This window comes from Homo sapiens, chromosome 13 (assembly GCF_000001405.40).
Source record: "Homo sapiens chromosome 13, GRCh38.p14 Primary Assembly".
NCBI lineage: Eukaryota > Metazoa > Chordata > Mammalia > Primates > Hominidae > Homo > Homo sapiens.
This window is the reverse complement of record NC_000013.11, coordinates 35,535,390-35,561,433: the sequence shown is the minus strand read 5'-3', so window position 1 is coordinate 35,561,433 and position 26,044 is coordinate 35,535,390. Positions and strand designations below refer to the sequence as shown.

General features: G+C 36.1%; 1 protein-coding gene across 15 annotated transcripts in view, besides 1 other annotated feature; it reads right to left on the bottom strand.

Annotated features, from left to right (window-relative positions):
* Positions 1-26,044, bottom strand: part of NBEA (neurobeachin) — a 730,467-nt gene that overhangs the window by 111,303 nt on the left and 593,120 nt on the right. For all 15 annotated transcript variants that reach the window (XM_047430271.1, NM_001385012.1, XM_006719803.4 and 12 more), the window contains 3 exons: positions 10,840-10,957; positions 10,402-10,504; positions 6,332-6,447 (listed from right to left, as the gene is read on the bottom strand). In XM_047430271.1, coding sequence (XP_047286227.1) covers positions 6,332-6,447; positions 10,402-10,504; positions 10,840-10,957 — 337 coding nt within the window. The remainder of the gene's footprint in view (positions 1-6,331; positions 6,448-10,401; positions 10,505-10,839; positions 10,958-26,044) is intronic.
* Positions 8,688-8,982: a silencer, noted in NCBI's record as "tiled region #14935; HepG2 Repressive non-DNase unmatched - State 24:Quies, and K562 Repressive non-DNase unmatched - State 24:Quies". NCBI's record gives its function as "represses a minimal TATA promoter and a strong SV40 promoter by Sharpr-MPRA in HepG2 and K562 cells {active_cell/tissue: HepG2 | K562}" and the evidence as "EXISTENCE:reporter gene assay evidence [ECO:0000049][PMID:27701403]".

The window sequence follows — 26,044 nt, the reverse complement described above, 5'->3', positions numbered from 1 at the left end:
TATTAGGTCACATTGACCTATATTTTTAAACATGTGAAGCCAGAAAAGATTGTTTCATCTTGTCAACCAGATTCCAATTCTGTAACACTTCTCTTTAATCCAAGACGTTTAAAGAATCCCTCGTCCAGTAATTCTAGTGAATTTACATAATAGATCACAACATCCTGCAAATATTTACAAAAATAAATATTAAGTAACTTAATTTCATGGGTATTTACTGAGCAAAACTTTTTTTCTCATTGGGAAGATAAAATGCACATAAAATGCTAAGGATGCCCTATCATAAGAGTCATCATGTGTGATACTGACGGTGCTATATGAAGATTAATAAAATTATTTTTAGGTATGTCTTTTAAAGATATAGATATAGGGCAGTAATTCTCAAAGTGTGGTCCCTAGATCAATGGCATCAGCATCAAATGGGGAGTTCTTAGAAATGCAGCTTCTTGCGGCTCAATCCAAGCCTACTGAATCAGAACTTATGGCAGTAGGGAACCAAAGATCAGGGTTTTAGCAATCCTGCTTTGGATACACTGAAGTCTGAGAACTGCTGGTATGGTGGATGCTGGGAGCAATGATGGCTGGTGGTGTTCATGGCTGGTGGTGTTCAGCTATGTCCATCTCGAAGAATTGCTACCATTAGAAGAAAGCCCCCAATCCAGTCATGTCTCCTTCCCAGGAGTCTGCATCCAATGATTGCAGAGTGGAGGTAATGAAGACCTGGCTCCCTTGCCTCAAGCCAAGACAACTTTGAACGGTTACCCCAGCCCCAGGCACCCTGTGGGATCTACTGAAGCCTTTGTCACAACTGCACTGAGGTCTGAATCCTCCTTCTGCCCAGTTCTAACTTCTTCACTCCCCCACAGATGTTGATCCCAAGGGCTTTTCAATAAAAATCCTCAAGCAAATCTCTGTCTCAGAGTCTTTTTCTCTTGATCTAAAGCTTAACTGAAAACAGTGCCAGCTTCTACATTAAAGATAGTAATTCCAGGCCCAGATCTAGTACTAGAATATCAGTATCTACAAAAGTCATGACAGTAAATAAATTTCAAAGGGTTAATTTGATGAAATGTAAAAGAAAATTACAAAATTGTTTTAAATCATTAATTATTTAGGTTTTAAAAGCAGCTAATAAGTTAAAGCTGGTGACTGGAGGTGAAGTTGTATGGTACCAGGAATATCCTGGAACAGTACGCTGTAGTAACTGAATGAAGACTCTGGAGCTAAACTGCCTAGGTTTGAATCCCGACTGTGTCACTTATTAGCCCTATGACTTGGGCCAAGTTATTTAGCTACTCTCTACCTCATCTCTGTAAAATGGGGATAAGAACAGAACCTAACTCATGGGGCTATTGTGAGGATTAAATGAGCAAATATATATAAAGTCCTTAGAACAATGTTTGGCACATTATAAATTATTCAATAGTCATAAACTATTATTTACTATTTTTTCTGAGTTCTTATTATTAACAAAGAAATGTTTCTTTTTTTTTTTTTTTTTTTGAGACGGAGTCTCGCTCTGTCGCCCAGGCTGGAGTCCAGTGGTGGGATCTCGGCTCCCTGCAAGCTCCGCCTCCCGGGTTCAGGCCATTCTCTTGCTTCAGCTTCTCCTGCCTCAGCCTTCCGAGTAGCTGGGACTACAGGCGCCCGCTACCACGCCCAGCTAATTTTTTTGTATTTTTAGTAGAGACGGGGTTTCACCGTGTTAGCCAGGATGGTCTCCATCTCCTGACCTCGTGATCCACCTGCCTCGGCCTCCCAAAGTGCTGGGATTACAGGCGTGAGCCACTGCGCCCGGCCAAGGAATGTTTCAATAGGAAAAATGAAAGAAAGACATAATAACAATACTATTTTTTTTCTGAATCTTGATATCAAATAAAAATGTTTAAAACATATTATGACAAAATATAAGCCAACCATGTCTTGGCTTTAGATTACCTAAGAAATTACATTTGTCAAAAAGAAGACTAACATCCTATCTAGAAATGATAAATCTTAAGTTTCAATCAATCAAATGAAATAAATACTTCCTGAACAATAACCGTATCCCTAAAACAGTGTTATAAAATAGTATGATTATTTTTAGGACCCGTGTTCGTTAAAGTGATACTGGTACAACTTAACATCTTTAGAGCACCCTTTATTTTAGGATCATAAGAGAACTCTGAAGGGTGATTTGATAAGAAGAGATGAATGGATACACACTGTCCACCAATCAGGAAAACAGGCAAATCTAATTGCTGCCCTAACAAGTATTCAGTCATGGCATTACTGAAGCTTCTCTAAGAAAACCATCACCCATGTCTTTAATGCTGGTGCTCAGTTTAAACTGGCACTCCTATTTAAAATTTCAGGATGATAGCAAAGGAAGAATTAAATTAATAGGAATATATCCAGGGAGAGTACCTCAGGATATTCATATTCATAATTTTTTTCAATTGTCATTCTACTTATTACGGTTTATTTTGCCTGGATAGTCATCTACATCTGACAAAATCCTTAAAGAGTTCATTTAAAGCTCATCTTTTCCAAGGTTTCCTCGAGTAGACTATTTCATATTAATCTCTCACTTCTCTAAACTTTTATTACACTGAATGGCACTTAATCCTGTACTTTCTTCTATGTTTTAAATGTTTTATATGCAAATCTTGCCCTGATAATTAGGTCTTAAATGGCTAATGCAATTGTGCTCAAACTTTTTGTATCAGAACCAACTAGAGGGCTTGCTGAAAGGCAGGTTGCCGGCTTCTGATTCTGTAGGCTTGAGGAGGAGTCTGAGGATCAGAAATCTCTAACAGGTCTCCAAGGTAATAGTGCAGGTCAGGGGACTACACTTTGATAACCACTGAACTAGAACAAATGACAGTGAAACTTTTTTGTATAATGATATTGTACAAAGTGTCATTTACTCTCTTTTTGCCATACCTGCTGCCATATGCTCATCCAAAATCTTCACCTCACATTTTCTTCTTGGAATGCCCTCTGCCTACTTTCTAGTGAACTCTTAATCATATTTCAATTCCCAATTTAAATGTCACCTATGGGAAGCTTTTTCTGCTCTCTTAGTTATAAATAATGGCTCCTAGATTTGACTACCTCAAATGGCTTCACATATACTCCCATTATAATACTTTTTTATACATTATAAAATTGTACACAATTTTATACATTCCAATACTTTTTAGTGGAATTACTGGTATACGTCTGCTTCCTCACTATATTACGATCTTTTCAAAGGCAGAAACCATACTTTACTTGCTTCTGTAGTCAGGGAAAAATAGAATATGTGGTACATAGTAAATATTCAGTAACAATTTACTATTACTACTCCCCTTATAGCACTAATGCTAAGGAATCTCAATTTTGATTTATGCCATACATAATTATCAGTTTAATTTTTCTAAAACTCCACATCGCATTCCCTTCTACTCTAACACTATACTGACTCCTAAAAGCCTCTTTATAATCTGGCTCTTCTCTAAGGCTCCAATATTATATATAATTCTCTACTCCACAGAAGGTATGATAATTCTGTCCACTGAATACACCATATATATACAACTAGCAGAAATTTGTGAAGCTCTTCTCTTTTTTTCTCCCCAAACACATTTTAAAATGCCTCCCCTCTGCTAAGCTCATGCAGCATTCACGATAGCAATGATTCAGCATTTACTATCAGCCATCTTAAAATGTCTTATTTACGTGTATTTCACTTATTCATCTAGACTGTAAGTGTTCTGTGTGCCTAGTCCCTATTGTTAATTTTTATCCCATTGCTTACAATAGTCAGGCTTTCATGTTTAGTCATAATAATTGCAAAGGAAGTACCCAGTAATTTTTGAAAAAAATCAGTGGCCCATATAATCTTCATGTTATAAATAAAACAGACTTCAACGATTCAAACAATAATAGCAAGATGCTTTTAAATTCCCACCAGAGTCTGCATGCTCTGGCTCAGAAACCCAAAGATTGTCCCAAATAGAAAAAAGCATATTAGGCTCTATACTGCTCAGGTGTAACTTTTAGAAGGCATGACAATGTTATCTCTATCCAGATTTAGACACAGCAACCTTTCCAGAGTTGGACAGATAAAGAGACTCCCAGAAAGTAACAGGCATGAAGTGGGTGGTAGTTATAGGTGGTACTGTACCACACTGTGGGAAACTGACCTTACATGAGTAAAATGCAGTGGGAAGGGATGGAGACTAGAAGAGACCTTTAAAACAATGAACTAGAAAACATTCCATCCAGAGCCTGGAGAAAATCTCATTTTAGAATAGGAAAACCATTTAATATGAATGCCTGCTACATTGGAAACTGAACTACAAGTGAGGTATATCACCCTGCCCTCCAGTTTTATATCCAACAGCTCCAAATAGCTAGCACAGCCAAGGGAAAAAAAATCACCTAATGGTGTCTAATGATACTGTCTTGATAGGTCTCTCAAGAGCAGATAATATAAAAACCTAATACAGGGAATATGGAAAACTGTTACACAAGAACGTACAGAGAATATCATCCCGAAAAATCAGGTAAAGATCCATATAGCTGAAAATAATATACTGCATGAACACATAATTTCAATAGTTTGAAATCTTTCTTAATTTGCAAAAAGACGTAGACCCCAGAGTGTGAAGTTAATAATAATCTGGATTCTGGCTAGTAATTTATATTTGCGAATATAAGCAATGAATGAGAAATAAAATTGAGTTGAAGTTTTTGTCTTAGGTATGATTTAAAAATGTTAATTGATTTTTGAGTTCAAATTAAGAAAAATAGTTTATAAGGCTTTTAAAAATGTAATATCTCTAGGGGAATTAATAACAAGGTGCTTACATTTTAAATCACAAGAGCACTGAGCAAAAAAGCATTCGTAAAGCCAGAGAACAAACAATATAAAAAGCAAGAGGACATTAAAAAAAAGTATAAGACAAGATGATATAAGACCAAACATACCAGTTATTAAAACAGATGTAAACATATTAAATATTGCTATTAAAATATTAAAAGTCCACGATAGAGTTAAAAGTTAAAATTCAACTTATGCTCCAGGACAGAAAGTTGGCAGATCTGGGATTCTCTCCCTCTTCTCTTTGGTGTTGAAAGTTGTGTTCTTTCTGCTACACCATGCTATTTACTTAAATATGCTCATGAAATTAAGTTCTTTACATTTCAGATGTTTAAATTCATTCTATTTATAAATAATGTGCTAATTAAATAGTATAACACATTTCTTTTATCTTTGAGGGAGTAAACAGGTTTATTCAAGATATATATGTGTATGTACTACACATATGAATAAATGCATGTATATATGAACATATATATACATGAATGTATTGGGATTAAAGTGAAAAAGCATTTTAATATATCAAATAGCTTTATTCCCTTTTGTGGACAAATCAAGTTTTGTCTATTTAATACATATCTATATTACCCGCATTTAATATATACCTATAGTATCTTTAGTCACACTTATGTATGATAGATTAAAAAAGAGTAATATTACATAGTTATATTTTTAAAGTAATGATTCAGAGAAGTACACAGCTCTAAATACACGGTTGTGAGCATTCATTCATAACAAAACAATAATTATGGTAAGCACCTTTATTTATGTGGTTATTTGAATTCATCTAATTGCAAAAACTTTTTGTAGAGCCTGGTTTATAGAAGTAAACTCTTTGTAATTCATCATGAATAAGGGCTTTTGGAGCTTAACTTAAGAAAAAAGATGAAGTACTTAAATCTCATAGACATGTTTAACCACTGACAACCACTGATTTAGCAGAAAACAAAGCCACTACCTCCTTTTGATTTGCAAGCATGGTACTGCAAAGGTTGATGGCAGTTACTCATAATTTAGAAAATGTAATCTGATTTTGTATTTTTATTTGAAGATTTTAAGAAAAAAAGATGCTGTAACCTAATCATGCCATATTCCAGGTGACATCTGTACTAGGCAGAATCCTGTTGTTATTCTCCTGTCTAGCTGCTATTGCTGAGAATGACAAAGTAGTGAAATTACTTTTCCCATTATTATTTCCAGACACTCTGGCAATGGTTTGTTGACTCTAATAAACCTTCAGACAAAGCTGTCAGCAAAGGAAATGGCAGAAGGAAAGCAAGGAAAAGCCTCTTCAACAATAAATGCATCTAAAAGTTTGGTATGAGCTTGCACAGTTTCTGATAAAATTTAATGTGAGTGCTTCAAAATTTACTCTAATGATGCATTTGAATTCCAAAGAGAAAAATGTATTATATCAGGCTACATTACCATGATTTTGATGAACATAAACATATTATTAGATTAAAGAATGAGACATCTTACCTGCAATAGTATTAAGGAACATCAAATATTCGAAGTTTGAAATTTCCCTTCTTTGCCAGCGCTGAGTCATATTGGAAGATTTATAAAGCTGTCGAGGAGTGGCCAATGATATCCTCCTAGCAATTAAGCACAGCATAACAAACATAGTCTCTTTAATTCATAACTTTAAAAAATCCAATATTAACTAATATATTGCTTTGATAATCAACTTAAAATAATTTATGGTTTATCCTTCTTAGATGAATTAGAAAATATATTTTAATTGTAGAAATTAGCAATATTTGAGAATTCTATTATAGAGAAGATACACTTAATTACTCAGGATAAAACAATTTGAAAGCAACCTTATTTGTCAAATCACAGCTGCAAATGAGTCACAAATCCACAAGAAAAAAAGTAAAACTATACTTAAGATAAATCAAGTAGCTTTTAAACAATACAGCAAATCTGCTCCATGTTAATTAGGTAGGTAGGTAGGTAGTCAGGTACCTGTTTACATGCATTTGACTTAATGTCTATCAATGAACTTCTTCGACTTGCCTTCACACACACAGAGTGTGTACACATGCACAGCCTCTGCCCGTACAATATCTATCCCTGCAATGGTGTAAAATATAAACAACTGGGAACTTTGAAAAAATGCATGGGTCCAGAAGAAGGGACATAGGAACAGCCTAAGGGAATAAACCATGATCATTGGTCCAAATTATGAAACTTTCCAGGTTCAATGTGTTCATCTAAAAATAACAAAAGCAGTTGTATTTAGAAAAGTATGATAAAGCTACTGGGTTTTTAAACTGATTGACAGAGGTTCTCAAACTTTTTCAATTCATGGCACCCTTAGTATCTCCATAATTTTTCATAGTGCTCCTTGACCAAGAGAAATATCTTACAATTCTGTTTATTAAGTAGTTAGCTCTAACAACTCAATAAATATTTAACATCTTAACAACTGAGTAGCTATTTGAAAATACAATACTCATAAACTTAAAGAGAAATATTTATATTTCATTCTTAAATAACCACATTTACTAATGGGGTGTGTATGTCTGTTGGAAACTGCACAGCTTCTGAAACCTTGGAATCAGATCTGACACCACCACACTCATTTCCTGTTCCACACTGATTTTTCATATGGCTCTTGTTTTTGAAGACAGTAGCCACCAAACACCAGTTTCTCAGAGGTGTCACTGAAAAAGATGCAGCCCTATCTAATCATTCTAAGTTGAAACTTGGAACTAACTCGAGCAAATAGTTTGTGTGGTATCTGACAAATGTTGCTGTTTTTCCCTAAAAAATTAAAAAATGACCTGCAGCACCCCTGAGAATTCACTGTGATATCGCAGGACTCCTTCGTGTTTAGTTTGGGAACAACAGACTTAAGGCTATTTCTGTTACTCATGGATTATTAACATGAGTATTCACATGGAATCTTAATAGGCATTGTCTTGTACATAGCACAAAAGATTATCAAAATATCTCTTGCAAAGATATCTTGCAAAATATCTCTGGCAGAATATCTCTTGTAAAGATATTTTCCCCATTTTATGGTAGATAAGAATGTCATTCTGCTTGAGTAGTGTTATTCATTCTTTCCACCAATATTTATTGAATTGCTACTAAGTGTGAGGCTTGCTTATTGTTACCCAGCTAAGTGACAGGTTTAAGCCTAGATGCAGTGTTTCCCCATTGCCACTTGGTACTTCTAAGGATGTATATCTAGGGAAGTACATAAAACTGAGTCTGTAAGAATATTATTAGGAAACTAATAATTAGTTGAGCTTTTTGGGGGAAAATAAGCCAAGGACAACAAAAGGACGTTTGAAGATAGAATGGCATTATGAATTACAGAGAGACCAAAACTACTGAGCTGCCTTTTGTTTTCAGTTTTCTTATAAAGAATCATCTTCCAGCTGGGCATGGTGACTGTTGCCTGTAATCCCAGCACTTCGGGAGGCTTAAGTGGGTGGATTGCTTGAGTCCAGGAGTTCGAGACCAGCCTGGGCAACATGGTGAAACCCCATCTCTATAAACAATACAAAAATTAGCTGGGCATGGTGGCACATGTCTGTATTCCCAGCTACTTGGGAAACTGAGGTGGGAGGATCTCCTGAGCCTGGGGACATCAAGGCTGCGGTGAGCTGAGATCACGCCACTGCACTCCAGCCTGGGTGACAGAGTGAGACCTTGTCTCAAAGAAAAAAAAAAGAATGATCTTCCAAACGTCAAAAAGAGACCAAATGTGGTTAAAAGGGAAACAATACTCATCATAGGTAAGAAATAAAATAAAAGAGCTTCTGATTGTTTTAAATGAATTCCGGTCCAGACAAGTCAAAGAATACTGAGGGAAATTATACATGCCATATAGAAACCTCTATTAGTAATCTTTCAGGAATCATGGTCATTGAGAAATATGCCAGAAGACAGGAGATTATTCTTAAATAGGAAAAAGTTAGGCCCATTCGTAAGTTCTTAATGTCAATTCCTGAGTAAATTCTTGAATTGATGATTAAACAAATAGTATGTAAGCACTTGGGAAAGGAAGTAATGATTATTATGAGTCAGCTTAGATTCAATAAGAACAAGTCTTGCAGAACTAACCTCATTTTCTTTGATAGATGAAATGCATTTTTCTTTGACCTGTATTTTATATAAGTGCTTCATTATCTACTAATATCTTAGTTTAATCTTGTCATTCTACTAGCAAATATCTTGAGCATGTGTATACGTGTCAGTGAATTGGTCTTACACTGTAAGCTTAAAGAGAATAGATAAGTTGCAATACAAGGTAACCCCAGCTAAACAGCACTTAAAAAGCACTGCTGCAATTAGGCACTGTGTTAGGTCCTGTAGATTAAAGGATAAATAAAACACAGTCCCTGTCTTTCAGTTGTCTGTAGCCTATTTAAGGGAGGATAGACAAAGATTAGTTTTCCTTTCCATCCATACAGTGCTGTGTAATAATTCTCAAGGACATAACAGTCTATGTGGTAGACATTGTTGTATCTACCTAAAGTCAATCTCCCTTTGTTCTTCATCAACGGAAATCCTCTTTTGTTCATGTAGGAGCTGGCAAAGAATCAGAGGTATCTTTTTCCATAAAACCTAGGGAATGATTGGGCTAAGCCAACAGAACTCACACCTTTTTGGCAGTGATTGTTTTAGGAATGGGAAGGTGACTGTATTCTGGCCAAAGGGACTTAAGATAAAGATTGCTTTAGGCTTCTGAGAAATACATTCTTCCTAAAACAGAGAAGCTTAAAGAGAAATCCTTTGTGTCTTTTTCCTACTGTAATGCAGTTGTGTGAAGATGTAGTAGCTGAAGAAGTAGCGGTGATTTTGTGAATACAAAGCCAACAGGGTTCTGACATCACTGAACCTCTGAACCAATACTGGCAGCACCTTAACTCCAGATCTTTTATATTAAACACACACACCCCTATAGTTTAAGCCACTTTTAGTAAGGTATTCAGTTATTTCGAGCCAAAAACGACAAACTGATATCAGCAATATAAGTAACTACTGATTATGTTTTCTACTTACATTAGTATCTTTTAATAATATAAGATTTCAAAATGATTCTTCTAAAATACCAAGATGAAAATCTAGGAAATGTGGTTACAACTATACCATAATTAATGACTATTACCCTTAATAAACTCTCAGGGTTTTATTGTTTTAATTAAGAAGCATTTATATATGGCATTTATAAAAACATTATTTATATGCTATTACATAGCAATTAATCATTTATGATCTTCAGGCTTTTGGTATGTTTCCTGTAAGATTTTAACAAGCAAGAATGTCTTAATTATATGCTAGCTATGTGATAAGCAATCAAGTTTTTTACTTTGTTATTTATATGTATTAAATAAAAATCTGCCCTAACCATTCTGTCATTCTCAAAATAGCTATTTTCATAATCTCTATCCCTACAAATAACCTTCAGAGAAAGAAAATTCTTTGGTCTCTGAAATAATTATAATGTTATAACCACATTTACATTGCTGTAATATTGAGATTGAAATATGTTAACAAGCCATAGATAATATGTAATATGATATAATTACCTGGCTTGTGGCAGACCATAGCTGGTCCCTACTCCAACCCGAGGCAAGCTATAGACAACTTTTTTTACTGTTGCTTGATCAGGGAAATTAAACATAACTGAGGCTGTGGTAAGAAGAAAAAAAACAGAGTTTAGAAAACCGCAGGATAAGTTAGCCATCAATTTTACAAGTCATCTTCAAGTGCCTATCATGATTTATTTGTAAAGCTAATGAATCTTCATGAAAAATCAGCTTTCAGTATAACTTTATCCATGAGAAACCTAGGGCTAACATTTCAAACAAATTCATTCTTTTTTTATTTTTTAAAAAGAATTTCTGTTTGTTTAAGCTAGAGCACATCAGAAATACAGTAGGAAAAATCAAGACATTATCATACCATGTAAATGAATAATATGTAAATATGAGCACATTTTCTTTCAAAATATTAAGGGGACTTACTTCGGTTTGCCATAAATACTTCCAAAGCAGTGTTTTGTAGAAGGTAACGTCTTGAAAATACAGCTCGTATCTCGCTGAACATCCATTTTCCGTGAAGTCCCTCAGTGTATGCAAGAACCTAAAATAAACAGTTTAAAGGGAAGTGTCAATCAATAAAATATGGATTTAAGATCTACTCTGACAGTAACTTAGTAAAAGTCAGAAAACTAGAAATGAATTCACTGTCTGTCACAACATTGTCAATAATTTGATACTGTGTATTTGCAAAATTTCTGCCTTTCTAAAGTGTCTTAGTTGGGTCTTGAGGAAAAGAAGGAGTAGAAAAACATATTCAAGGAGACTCTGTGACTTAAAACCGAAAATATATTATCACTTTTGGGTCTTGTATATAATTAATTGGACCAGGTGACCACCTGTGAGACATATATTGTTGGTTCTTTCCAATATCCTTTCTCCCCTTCCTTGCTTAATGGAAGCCCAGCTACCCCCAAAGTGTCCATATGGTCAACCCCAGGCAAAGGATCATGATTGGTTTAATCCAGGTGTCAGCAAACTTTTCTGTAAAAGGCCAGAGAGTAAATATATTTAGGCTTTGCAGGCTATATGGTCTCAGTTGCAACTACTCAGTTTTGCCATTGTAACATGAAAGGAGCCATAGACAATGTGTAAATAAAGGGGTATGGAAGTATTCCAACAAAATTTTATTTACAACAAGTATGAGCTGAATTTGGCCCCCAGGGCAGAGTTTGGCTGACCCATGGTCTAAGCCAGTCCTGACAATGTTATTCCCTGCTTCCCCAAATTCCCTTGTAACTTTGTGGAAGGACATTAGGCCAAGCACTGGTTAATGAGATCAAAACCAAAAGCAGTTGAGGATGTTTGAGAAAAGCTGATGAAATGAGTCATATATAGCTGGCATACCACTTTGCCCTTCCTGCTTGAATGGAGATATGATAGCTGAAACTGTAGCAGCAATTGTGTAACTATGAGAGGAAGGCCAAGGTTGGCTCTAATACTGAGCTACTGAAACAATCACAGCAAGCATCCACATCTGGACTTCTGGTTACCATGTATATAATCTATATTTGATTAAGCTACTGTCCTCAAATCTACAACAAGCACATTCCTTCCTGATACACCAACGTGTATTAACAATTCAGAGGGACTTTTCTACTTGCTGTGGTATACTCTACCGCACTTATATTTGCTTTGGTGGAAATGAAAACAGTTACTGAGTTTTACATACATTATATTCATTTTACATGCATTATATTCATATATACATTTGAAAACAAGTTATGAAGTTCCTTTTTACACTTCCTTTCTCTAGGAAATATACATAAAATATGTAAGTGTATAATCTTTTGGTCTTTATTTTTTGAAAATCCCATTTTGTAACCCTTAATTCAGTTTTTGTCTTTCTCTAGACATTGAAAGGTTTTTGGAGGCAGTCAGACGTCTATTTAAATCTGAAACATTTTGGAGCCATTCAGACTCCTACTTAACTCTTGGCTCTGCTATTTACCAACTACAGTATTTTGAAAAACAATTATTTAACTCCATCTGGTTTTTGTCATCTGAAAAACAGTGATAATGATACCTGGAAATGGTTAGTTTAAGCAGAGACAAAGAACATAAAGTACATGACCCTGGCTATTAAGTTCCATTGATGAATTTATGTCTCCTTGTTGTTGAGCATCAGGTGACAATTGGTTTTTGATTTCTAAATGCAAAACTTCTTCTTGTACATTTCACAAAAGGGTTATAGTGACTTGCCACAATTTATATTTATAAATTGTTAGTTGGCTATAATGGTTTCCATATTTGATTTTCATAGACCAGTATGATTTTTAAAAAGGAAAGGGATAGTGATACAGGATTAATTCTCTTTTTTTTGTCAAGTAGGAAACATTTTAAGACAAAACAGCCACAACAACAAAATCTATCTTCAACTATAATAATTATTTCACTAAGGTACTAAAAATACTATGGCCATTTGAAAACCCAAACAGTAAAGTGAATATAATATCAGAAAAAATGATAGATCTTCCCATGAAAGCTGTGTTGGCACCCTTATACCCATAGCATTATGTCAGAAAGATACCTGTATCTATATTTCTAGGTCCAGATATATTAATATCTCACATGTGTATACACACACAGAGTCATATTTTGACTTATTTTTTCCTTCTGGAGCTATGGTGTAATGAAAATTTGACCAAGCATTTATTTCCATTAAGCATGTTATCAGTTTTTACGTTAGTTATAGCAAGCAGATAGCTCCAAAAAGTATGTTAGTTTGACTCCTTAAGTGCACCATGTAAAACTGTATTTTATAAACTGTGCCAATTATTCATTTATGGCCTTCCATGTGCAAATTCACCCTTAATTGCTTGCTCTGTGAAAACGAACCTGTGTCCTTAAAATATTTTTCCTTTGCTACCTGTCATAGCATTAAACTTTGTCAGGAAAGGGCACTGAAGAGACCACACAGGAGGAAGGGTGTTTTTTCTTCTCTGTTCTGGTGTTCTCACTTGGCAGGCGCCTGTTCTCCAGCACTTGGCTCTGGGACGCATGATGCTCCCAGCACCCAGTGACCAGCAGTTTTCTCAGTACTTCCCTCACCCCGAGCCGTTCTGTAGCAGAGTGTTTCTGTTGGGACACCTCCCATAAATGGCTTCATCAATTCCCTTTTTTTTTTCTTTTGAGACAGGGTTTCACTCTGTTACCCAGACTGGAGTGCAGTGGCGTTATCTTGGCTCACTGCGACCTCCACCTCCTGTGTTCAAGCGATTCTCCTGCTTCAGCCTCTCAAGTAGCTGGAATTACAGATGCGTGCCATTACCATCCGGCTAATTTTTGTATTTTTAGTAGAGATGGGGTTTCACCATGTTGGCCAGGCTGGTCTCGAACTCCTGATCTCAAATGATCCACCTGACTCGGCCTCCCAAAGTGCTGGGATTACAGGTGTGAGCCACCACGCCTGGCCAATATTCTTTAGAGTTATCTTTATTTCTTACTAGCCAGTCCCTTGTTACTCAATCTCCTGGCATAATTTATATGATAATTGTATCACACTTTTCCTATCTAAATTGCACTCTGATTCCTCTCCCCTGACTGGATCCCAGCTAATACACAAACTCAGTTTTCCTATCACCATTCTCTTAGCTACAGCCTGGGAGCATAATGGTCCTTAGGGACCCTCTGCAGCAAGAAAAAAGGAACCTAAGATCAGTAAAGCTTAAATGCAAAGAGGACAAGGAGAGATAACAAAATTAAAAGAAAATGATTTTGCTAGTAGCTTCTAAATGGCTTAGGAAGCAAATTCTGAAAGACAGATCCAAAGGTCCAAAGCTATTTTGAACAATGGCAACATCATTTAAATAAGTGTTCAGCCCTTACCAAAGGGGACATGGGAAGAAAAATTATTTTTATGTATGTTCTTATATGCTTTTCAAAAAACCTACCTAATTACTTTACAATAACCCATGTTATATTTAAGCATCTGAAATCCTAAAAGGGCTGATGAAAGACGATGTTCTGAGCTAGCCATAATTCCCTGCTAGGAAAACCTGATAGAGCCTAGGGTCATTTTCTTTTCTTTTCTTTTTTTTATAGCAAACCACCTCCTGCTTTCCCTGCTTGTTACCTTCAAGACTGATCACGGAATAAGATGATCCTACAATTTCTTTATTTAAAAAGAGTTTCATTCCATAATACATTTTTATTTAAAAAAATTTTAGGCCGGGAGCGGTGGCTCACGCCTGTAATCCCAGCACTTTGGGAGGTTGAGGTGGGTGGATCACAAGGTCAGGAGTTCGAGACCAGCCTGGCCAATATGGCGAAACCTCATCTCTGCTAAAAATACAAAAAAATTAGCCGGTCATGGTTGCACATGCCTGTAATCCCAGCTACTTGGGAGGCTGCGGCAGGAGAATTGCTTGAATCCGGGAGGCAGAGGTTGTAGTGAGCCGAGATCATGCCACTGCACTCCAGCCTGGGTGACAGAGCAAGATTCCGTCTCAAAAAAAAAAAAAAATTAATAATAATTTTAGATCTACTCCTCTCAGCTGCCTTTTCTGACACACAATTTAAGAGTTATCATGTAACTCTATCTCTTTTTTTTTTTTTGAGATGGAGTCTCATTCTGTCAGCCATGCTGGAGTGCAACAATGCCATCTCCTCTCATGCAACCTCCACCTCCTGGGTTCGAGCGATTCTCCCACCTCAGCCTTCTGAGTAGCTGGAACTACAGGCGTGTGCCACCAAAACCAGCTAATTTTTGTATTTTTAGTAGAGACAGGGTTTTGCCACATTGACCAGGCTGGTCTTGAATGCCTGACCTCAAGTGATCCCAACACACAGCCTATCTTATCACTGTTTAATTCTGCACATGAAAATGATTAATTTTCTTACTTGTTTTTTGTCTGTCCCCTCCCTGTGACATCAAATAGGAGAATAGAACTCTCATCTATCCTATTTACTGTTCGATACACAGTGCCTAAAATAGTGTCTGGCACATATGTGCTCCATATATGTTTGTTTAATAAATCACAATGGGAAACTGATAGAAATAGTACATATGGGGAAGGTTCTAAAGAAATTGTACAGAGTATGTGCATTTTGACTCCTTTGCTAAACCAGAAGAAGCTCTCTCCAATGTGGCCTTCAGACTTCTCATGTTTATGTCCTAATGGTATAGTCCACCAAACAACCCTGCTGACTTTAATCAAGAACCAAAACAGTAATCTAAATACAGCTGGTTTCTCTTTTTTAGTAGTTTAATTTGCACTACCATGGAACTTTCGACTGGATTAGATCCATTCTGAGAAGACACTACCTTTACAATGAAAGGATTCCTTGACTCCAGAGGAGTTATGGAAGGGCTTTAGGCTAAGCAATTTTGACTTGATATTATGGACTTACGCCTCTCACATGGGAAAATGTATACTAAGGTATGTCAAAGAATATCATTTGGAACCCCTTCTTGAGCATCAATTTTATTTCTGGTAAGCAATTTAAAACAGTTTTGTAGTAAAATTAGCACAGGCTGGAAAATACTGCAAATATGAATGAATTGTTAAGATAAAACACTGGTACTCAGATACATGTGATTACTGTGGCTTCCTTGGACTATACCCCAGGGCTCTGTTACCCTGCTCTGCTCACAGGCACTGGGAAAGTCCTGAAGCTTAGCAGGAAGGTGGCAGAGTGAGATTTGAGGCACAGCGCTAGGGAGGCATGTGGAGGATAGAGTGGAATGCAGTGGGATGGGGGCAGAATGACCGGAGGGGATGCTGCTTCAGGCAAGTGATGAGTTAATCAATCTGTATAACTTTCATAAATGTAAAGGAATATCAATCACAGTCAGTTGAATACTGAGTTTATGGTACATTTCTATAAAAATCTGGGCATCAAGCTCAGGCCTGAAATATGGCCTGATACTATAAAATCGTCTTCTTTATTTATACCTTTACTGGTTACATAATTTTCTATAAGTTTAAGGACATTCTATAATAATTCTTTCAGTTTGCTTTTTATTATAGTCCAAGATATTTTTCTGTCATTTAAGTACTTTCATGTATACTTGAGGTTTGTGGTTTTGTTTTCTTTCTTAAGCCAAGCTTCCCATATCATCTAGCTTGTGCCTGCCTGTTTCTTCAAAGTATTTAATATACAATGAAATCTAATCAACAAATACTATCCCATCCAGTTTCATTTTTGAGAACTGAATAAACATAATTTTTGATACATCATACAGATCATAAGCAAGAATATTAAAGCATCTTGACCCCAAATCTTATGGAACTTTGTGATTTTCTTAAGTGACCACTGAACTATACTGAGCTAACTGCTTAATATCCAAAAGAAGTGAAGGGAGAAAGTTCATGTCAGGCTCATACCCTGAAGTCTGCCCCATTCACTTATGAATTTTAGTTCACTTATGAACTAAAGTACATAGAAAGCACATAGAAAGTAAGGTACATAGAAAGTAATACAATACAAATGTCATAGAAATCCCTTGTAAACCACCTACTCAAATATGTGCTTACCACATATTATCTGATGATCATGTTGAAAAATACAAGGCTGCTGTGCACTCATGCGTATCGGACATGTATATGTTGTCAGAAACATGTAAATGACTGTCAAATCACAGATGAAAAAAGTTTCACCTTTTTTTCTTTTTAAGGAAGCTAAATATTGTGCAACTTAAAAAAATACTTGTTTAGTGATAGCTTTGCTGATCTCAAATCATCTAATGCATATATTAGCACAAGTATTACAAATTTTTTTTCTTTGAATACGAAAAAAATCTAAATTTTGTTTCCAGTTGAATTTCCTGTTACGAATTGTTGAAAATGCTGCAGAAGGCTGGGCAAACCCTTTTTAGAGTTCCTAAGGTTGTCGCGTTCAATCCACACTTGCAGCCTCAACAGTTTAATTAAAGAGCTTGTTGTGGTGCAATTTAAAGTTACAAATCCCTATTACTTTTATAATTTCATATAAATTTGGAATTTGTGGCAATGGCTCAGGATTACAGCAAATATATTCAAGAAGAATAGTTCAAAAGAAATTTCAGGTCCACACTCATATGAGATCATCCATGCTCTTTTTAAACTGTCAGCTGAATGGAGAAGATTCCAAGGCCCTGAAGGAAAGTCGATCTACAAACTGGGAGAGGCTTGACTTCCAAAATGACCACCTGGAAGACCATGTCTGACTGATACCTGCTGTGTGGCACATGCAGTGAGGATGTGGGGAGCAGCTATGGAACACTCCCTTCCCACCTCTCACCACATGTCTTGGTGATGCTATTTCCCTACCAAAGAAATGGAGAAACATAAGATAGTACAGGTTCTCTTTCCCATCTCCAAAAAGGAGATGGGAAAAACACATTGCCATTCTCCCACTTAAAAAATAAAATAAAAAATGGTATTTCTCTATGGTGTATTGACTGGAGTATAAGATCTGTTGAGGGGTAGGAGCATCAAATTGGATGATTCGAAATACCTGATGGAGGCATTGGAAAGTGAATGTTCCCAGTGACTGGACTGAAAAAAAAATCCTTTTGCAAGTCAGATGTTTTCCCAATTCTTTACTTTCAAAGAGGAGAAGTTGGATCTAAATGGGCTGTCAATTGAGAGATAATTAAAAATAACTTCTGACAATAGATCCTTATGTGATTTTTAGCACACAACTTGGAAAGAGTAGAAAACACTGAATAACACTGTCTATAATACAACTTCGACATGCTGTTTACTTATGTGAACAAGATTTTTCAACACCTCTATAAAAAAGAAAGTTATAAGTAGCTCTAATATTGATTCCTGTATTATTGTAGCAATAAGTAATATTCATATGTGCATGTGTTAACTATTCATCCCATTAAGAGATGAATTTCTAATATAATTTCATTTTTTATGCTTAATTATTTTTCAAAGTTCACAATATATTTATGCTGTTGTATGACTGTATGCTAATAATATTTGTAACAATTTATTTCAGAATAAAAAATTTAAATACTTAGAATGTTATGGTCTTAGGAACCTAAAAAACTAAAGCTTTAATCAGTAAGTATATACACTTTTTGCAGAGTAGTATAACATAGTGATCAAAAAAGACTCACAAGCACAAATATTTTAGATTAGGTAAATTTGGGGGAAGGAATTGAAAGGAAGTATGAGTTCAAAGAGAGAAATTATATAAAATGTTCATTTGAAAAAAGAGCTTATTTGTACATCTTAAAACAGATGATAATAGTAATCAATCACTACTCTACTTATTTTATTCTACTGGATATATCTGAAAAGTAATATAACAATTTTATTTTAAAATAGTAATATTTAGAACATACTGGATATCACGTCTTTTTAAAATATTTAAAATTATGGAAAATTGTAACTGTTAATTTAAACATGTGCAATGTGGTATAGAGCTTTATAAAATTCTTTTATAATAAAATTGGTGAAAAAAAGTTAGAGAACAACTGCTATAGACCACTCCTACACAATAAAGAAATCTTCAAATATCTGGTAGAAGAGTTTCACTTTAGCCTTTTATTCAATTAATAATGAATACTATCATCAAAATAAAATTGTCAAGGGCAGGCACTATAGTCAGTAAAATGTAATATGGACCAAAAGATTGATCACAGAACCAAGTCACTCCATAAAACTTACATGGAAAAGAATTAATCCTGATGAAAATAATTCAGTAATATAAAACTGAAAACGGGAAAAATTGGAAATGGCTTAACTGTGAGGCAAACAAAAATGATCAAGAAATGAAGCTGGAAAAATGAAGCTTTCCAGAAAATACATCCTCAATGAAAATTAAACAATGTTGCTATAATGGCTGTGTTTAGGAATGTTATTATATGCCATTATAAACACAGCCATTATTGGTACATGGGCATATGGGTATGCGGTGGGGGGGGGGTGTCAAAACATCCTACAATTGGGGGAAATATAGGCAGCCCATCCGTAGAGAACTTTTGATTTAATAATCTTGATTTTTTTTCTCTAATTCATCAATTTATGGACCTGCTTACCTTAGACTTAAGGCTTCCCCTGGGTCTGCCTCTCTTACTAGCTGTGAGACCTCAGGCAAGTTCATTGATTTTTGATGTTTTGGTTTTCTTATCTAAAGATGGGGAGAAATAATGGTACCTAACTTCATGGGGTCATTGTGCGATTGAATGAGATATTAATAGCTCTTTTCAAAAAATGCTCAGCACAGTGCCTGGCACACAGGAAATGCTTAACAAATGTCAGCCTACTACTGCAATTACTCCCTACCTTTTTGTGCATGTGTACAGACACAAACACATACACACACACACACACACACACACACACACACACACCCATGCAGACCTCTGGTTCTAATCTTTGTTGATGACATCACCAAAACAGATGTAGAAAATCTGGACCACAGCACATAGCCTTTTACTGAACTAAAAGCCACATTTATTGTTTCTTTAGTGGTAGTTTGTATCCTAGACATTATTGGAATCATAGCACTTAACTCTTAACTACGAAGCCCAACTATTTGGGACACCAGCTACCAGTCTCACTATAAGCAGTGATAAACTGCAAGAAGGCTTCCTATTTTATAAACAGCCCATAATTAGGTCAGCTCTTTTCTACCAAGTGTCCTCATGGTTTATCAATTTTATTTTTCTTCCGTTCCTTTAATTTAACAAATATTTATCAGCTGACCATTAGGAACCAATGGTGAACAGGAGAAGCAGAGTCCCTGATCTCTAGGAGTTCACAGTTTGGTGGAAAATCACAAATAATGGGAAAAGGCAGGGGAGTGGGGAAAAAGGAAGTACCAAGCAGAAGGAACAACACATATGTAAACATGTATGTAAAGATACATAAACACAGTGCTGGGGGTGGGGGGGCAACGGACACAGACTGTGTGTGCATATATTGTAAGAAGCAGAGAGGTGAAAAATAAAATTAGAACAACAAAGGGTGAGTGGGCAGCAGGATGTGGGGCGAGATCTCATAACTCACATTAGAGTTTGGACTCTGGTCTGAGAATAATGGAGAGCTGCTATAAGATTTTTAACAAAGAAAGAGGTGAGACAATGAAACTGGCACTTTAGAAATCACTGCTGTGGCTGCAAGGTAGACGCTATTTGGACTAGAGAAGTGCAATACTGTTTCAAATCTATGTGAATTGTATTTTATATTCATTAGTAAAGAACCAGGAACTACTCAAAAGAGCATTATTTGTATTTCTCCAATAGCATCTCTTACATTGTGGCAGGTCCTTTTAAATTGATCTATCTTATTATATACATCCCCTAAAAAATGGACTTAATGAGGATAGAGACTGAGTTGTACTCTATTTTTGTATTCCTTATAGAACTTGCACAGAGAAGGAACTCAATTTTTGTTGAGCAAAATATTTTAAAATTTAATTTACAAACAAACTGAGTTGCAGCTGGAGTCCTCTGTGTCTACTTCATCTTCAAACACATACTCTCAAATCATGGTAAAACTCTCAAAATTAAAAATGATACTGGCACAGTTGCTTCATTTTTGTCCTACTCATGAATGTTCTTGTGTAAATATTGTATCTTTGGCTATGTTTCCTCATTTTCTCAAATTTGGCATAGTCTAAAATCTTTTATTTTTCTCTCTGCTATTATTTTACAAAGGGATGAGGTGGGGAGACCAGAACTCTATACTACTGAAAATAAACGAATTTCTAGTTTCCAGTATTTACTTTCATTTCTATACTGAATACATTAACTTCTCTATGTATTATTCTGCATATTGCTAATTTTTTAAACTAGTTATATTTATATGTCTTCTCTCTATAGACTTATTTATTTTCTTCTGTTTCAGATCATTTGGATTTCTGGGTTAGAGGTTTTTGTTTTAACTAATTAGGTAATAGGGTCTGATTTTACAAATATTATAAATTGTCGAGACAAATTATTTTCTCTTTTTAAAAGTATTTCATATTAAAATTTTAGATACAGCCAGAATGAAACAAGATTACAGGGTAGAGTTGCAGTAATGATTGTAGCAATAGTCAAATATGACTTAATTAAAAATATTTTTTTCTCTAGTTAACATTTCTTTATGTTAACCTGAAGAAAACTGCATGTATTACAAATACTAGTGCACTTTTTTTTTTTTTTTTTTTTTTTTTTTGAGACGGAGTCTTGCTCTGTCGCCCAGGCTGGAGTGCAGTGGCAGGATCTCGGCTCCCTGCAAGCTCCGCCTCCCGGGTTCACGCCATTCTCCTGCCTCAGCCTCCGGAGTAGCTGGGACTACAGGCGCCCGCCACCACGCCCGGCTAATTTTTTGTATTTTTAGTAGAGACGGGGTTTCACCGTGTTAGCCAGGATGGTCTCGATCTCCTGACCTCGTGATCCGCCCGCCTCAGCCTCCCAAAGTGCTGGTATTACAGGCGTGAGCCACCCCGCCCGGCCCTAGTGCACTTTTTAATTTTAATCCATTATAGCTTCAAACATTTTTTAAAAATTTGCATCCTAATGTCATGAAAATCAAAATCATAGTACAATTTATGCATATGAAGCATATATACTATGGTACATAGTAGGTATTTAAAAAGTGGCAAATGTTATTATTAATAGTAGTATAAAATCCCCTATTTAGCCACAATGTGCATTCTTCCTAGCTCTTAAATTCTAACCATCCTGAACACTTCTCTGCTCCCCAGTGTGCCGTGTTCTGTCACACTTTTGTGCCCCTGCAAATGATATTTCTTCTGACTGGCAGATCCCTTCTGATTTTGTTCTTCTGATTAACTTCTACTAATGATTAAGCTAGGAGATCCTGCTGCTCCCACTGGGAACCCTGTACCCACCTTTTTATAATACTTACCAAACTATAATTGTTGGTTGACTTCTTGGTGTCTCCCACTAACCTATTGACTCACTGAGGGCAGGAATTCTGTATGTCTCTGCATTCTTCATACTTAGCACAGAGCCTAGCACATGGCAGTAATTTAACACACTAATGAATTATGAATACTTTTCTTGATTTTTATTTAATAAGAAACATATGCAAAAGAATTATTAATCTACATGGTCTATAATGATTAAAACCAGCTATATTAAAACATTCCAGAGTGATTCCCAATTTGTTATGGACTAGATGGAACATGGGTGACACCCTCTTCTGAAAAGTTCCTTTGTACCATGTTTATTACCAATTATGCCACCACCCTGGATTGAACCACGATGAGTACTAATATTAAAAGTACACCTTGAGCATCTCTAATGTGGGAACACAAAATCCAAAATGTTCAAAAATCAGAAACTTTTTGAGTGCTAACATGAGGCCACAGGTAGAAAATTCCACATCCCACCTCACGTGACAGGTCACAGTCATAACGCAGGTATGTGACGCACTGTTTATTCAGTGTCCTCACGGGGGTTACTGTACAACCTCCTACCTTCTAATCAAAACCCAGCATGGTAGGTAGAGACTGAAAGCCTGCATTGACTGTTGTTGCTGCTGTTTAACAGCTGATCCAGGTATTCTGTGATGCTGCTGTGCCGCTTAGTTACACTGAACACATTGTTTTTACACGGTGTTAACAGTGTGTCTTTTTTTTTACTGTTATGTACTTATGTATGAATAAGTGTAAGAAAATGATTGCTTATCAGTAGCGTATAAATTCAGTGTGAAGAATGATAATGATGCCAAATAACCACAGACTGTCCACATGGGTGGCTGAGGTAGTGACACCTTTGCTTTCTGATAGTTCAATGCACAAACTTTGTTTCATGCACAAAAGTATTTCAAATATATTGTATACAATTACCCTCAGGCTACATGTATAAGGTATATATGAAACATAAACAAATTTCATTTTCAGACCTGGATCCCATCCCCAGGATGTCTCATTATATATATCCAAAATGTGAAAAAATTCAAAATTTGAAACACTTCTGATCCCAAGCATTTGCGACAAGGGATACTCCACCTGCGGTTATCTAAGTAGGGTAGCTACAGTCTGTGGTTGTTAAAACCATCAGAGCCATGCTATCATGAATTTGGCTGGCTGGTCCAATCAGAGGATCTCTCTTAATGATCTGAATTCAAGATATTCAGAGACGGCCTGAAGAGGACAGTGGGAAGAAGCTAGAACACAGCGAGAAAGCAGTCAACAGAAATCATAAGGCAGCAGAAGTTCTGAGGAAGCAGAGCCAACAACAAAAGAGATGGGATGGGGTTAGTGGTGCACACAACAGGTCTCCTGCTCCAGATGAATCAGGTTCCACTTTGCCCTTGAGGTCAAGCCACACTGGCCTTTGTTCAGTCCCTTGTTACCTACCATGTTGTTTCCTGTCACAGAGCCAATGCACATATTCTTCCCTCTCTGGAAATATCTTCCCTCCCCTATTTGCCAAGTTCACTTCTACTCATCTTCAAGGTCTCTTTTTGCTTCTATTTTTGCCACTGACCTCCCTAGCTAGGTAAAATCACCCTATCTTACGCTCTCATAGCACCTATGAGACAAGTTCTCTTCACAGCACTTACCGCAAATGTAATTTTGCAAATTCATTGTATAATTTCATTTTTAATGTAATCTCCTCCACTAGACTATAAGCTTTTTGACCATTTTTTTTCTTCTCATTACTGTATCTCTATTACTTAGCACAATGCCTGGTATGTTGTCGAAACTCAGTAAAAAATCTGTTGAATGATTGAATTAAAGGGTATATATAGAGTCTGATTTCTGATTTTGTTCTTCTGATTAACTTCTATTAATGATTAAGCTAGGAGACCCTGTATATATACAGGGTCTATATATAGTTATTCTCTAGTAGCAGAAGTATAAACAGAGTAATTGGTGCTATGTCAATGGGTGTCTATGATTGAGGGAGACAGAAAAAATGTGGTTTATTGGAGCTGAAAAAAATTCCAGTTTTTCAGAAGGCCTGATCAAAATTTACCATTTGTATTTTATTATGCTTTCTTAAAAGAAACTCTATAGTAGACACTACTGCTTACTTACTCAGAAACCATTCCACTCCTCCTATTCCAACCCTATCCCCCTGCCCCATTTCCCTGATTGACACAACTCCAATCATGTTCAGGTATTGACTTCTCTTACATCACTTCCAAGCCAGGACACACTGACCCCCTGGCCAGTTCCAGGGGTATATCGGATTTAGAAAAGTTTCCACATGCTGTGAGGGAGCCAATGGAAGAGATGCTCTCTCATTCCTTTGAATATTTCTGAGCTTATGTTGATTTTTTGAAGTGTTGGAGCCACATTGCTATCAGCGTAAGAATTAGGACAAACCAAGGATCACTGAGTAAAGACAGGCAATGCACCTGGGTTTTTGACAGCATCCACGACTAGCTGAATCAACCTTGGAGACCACCAGAATCCAGGACTGACTGTCTGTCTGTCTGTCTATCTATCTATCTATCTATCTATCATCTATCTATTTTTTACGAAGCCAGTTTACAGTGTCTGTTACTTGCAGCTGACAATTTTCTAATATAAAGTGTTATTATCAGATGTTACTTTCATGTCTCTGTTCTTTGAAGAAGGAAAAAAACAGGACCAATACACACACATATATAGGAACTCTCTGTATTAGCTGTTCAATTTTCTGTAAACTTAAACTGTTCTAAAAAAGTAAAGTCTATTGAAATTAAAAAAAAACAAATGCAGATATCAAACATTTCCACACTTTATGTTCTAGAATAACTTCTCCTCCTTGTCTACCTGGTAAATTTCTATGATATATTAAAAACTTACTGCTCAAAAAAGCATTTATTCAAAAAATATTTACCATTTATCAAGTATCTGCCAGGTAGGTAGTAGGCTCATCAGGGACCAGAAAGAAAAGATGAATGTGAATTATTTTTCAGGTTTTAAAGACTTTTCTTTTTCAGTGACAATTAGCAACTGAAAGCTATCATAAAATATGGGTTCCGAGTTTGTGAAGCATATTTTCACTTGAAAACCCAAGTGCCCCTGGGTATTCACAGGTGCATGCTTGGGGTTCATGAGAATTTATTTTTCTTTCTCTTAAAGCTACAGCTCCCTCAGCATCACCGTCTCCTGAAGAGAAGTGGTAGAATGAAACATAACCTCATGCAGGCAAACTTGCATTTTGGAAGTCCTTTTGATTGGGTCTATTTTACTGTGTATCTACCTAAGGCAGTATGAATGTTACCCTTGCCACATTCCCTCATCCTACCAGTATGTAGCAATAAGTATGTACTTTACTAGCACTTAGTTTTGTAGACTAAAGTAATTTTTTATATATCTGTATGCCATGCTGTAGTGGAAAGAACTTGGACTTGGAGGATGACACACAGACTCTAAAGTTTGTATAACTTCAGGCAAGTTTCCCAATACACTTGTGACAGTTTCCCTTATATAAAATGGGACAAATTACATCTACTTTGCAGGGTTGCTGTGAGTATTAAATGAAATAACACAGCAAGTATCAAGTGGGGAGGTTAGCAGAAAGGCTGTGCTACATAGATGTGTTGAACAAATGAATTCACGATCCTCCCCTACCCAGACCTTAGTGAACCCTCAGTCAGGAGTGATGGGAGCAGTCTCTGCCTTGACCCCAGCCCAGATCCTTTTCAGTGTACTTTATTCTCTGATCCAGTCTCTGGTTCTGTGTGTCACATTGCTCCAATCAGCTCTGATTATTTCCTGGAATTTGTTCTTA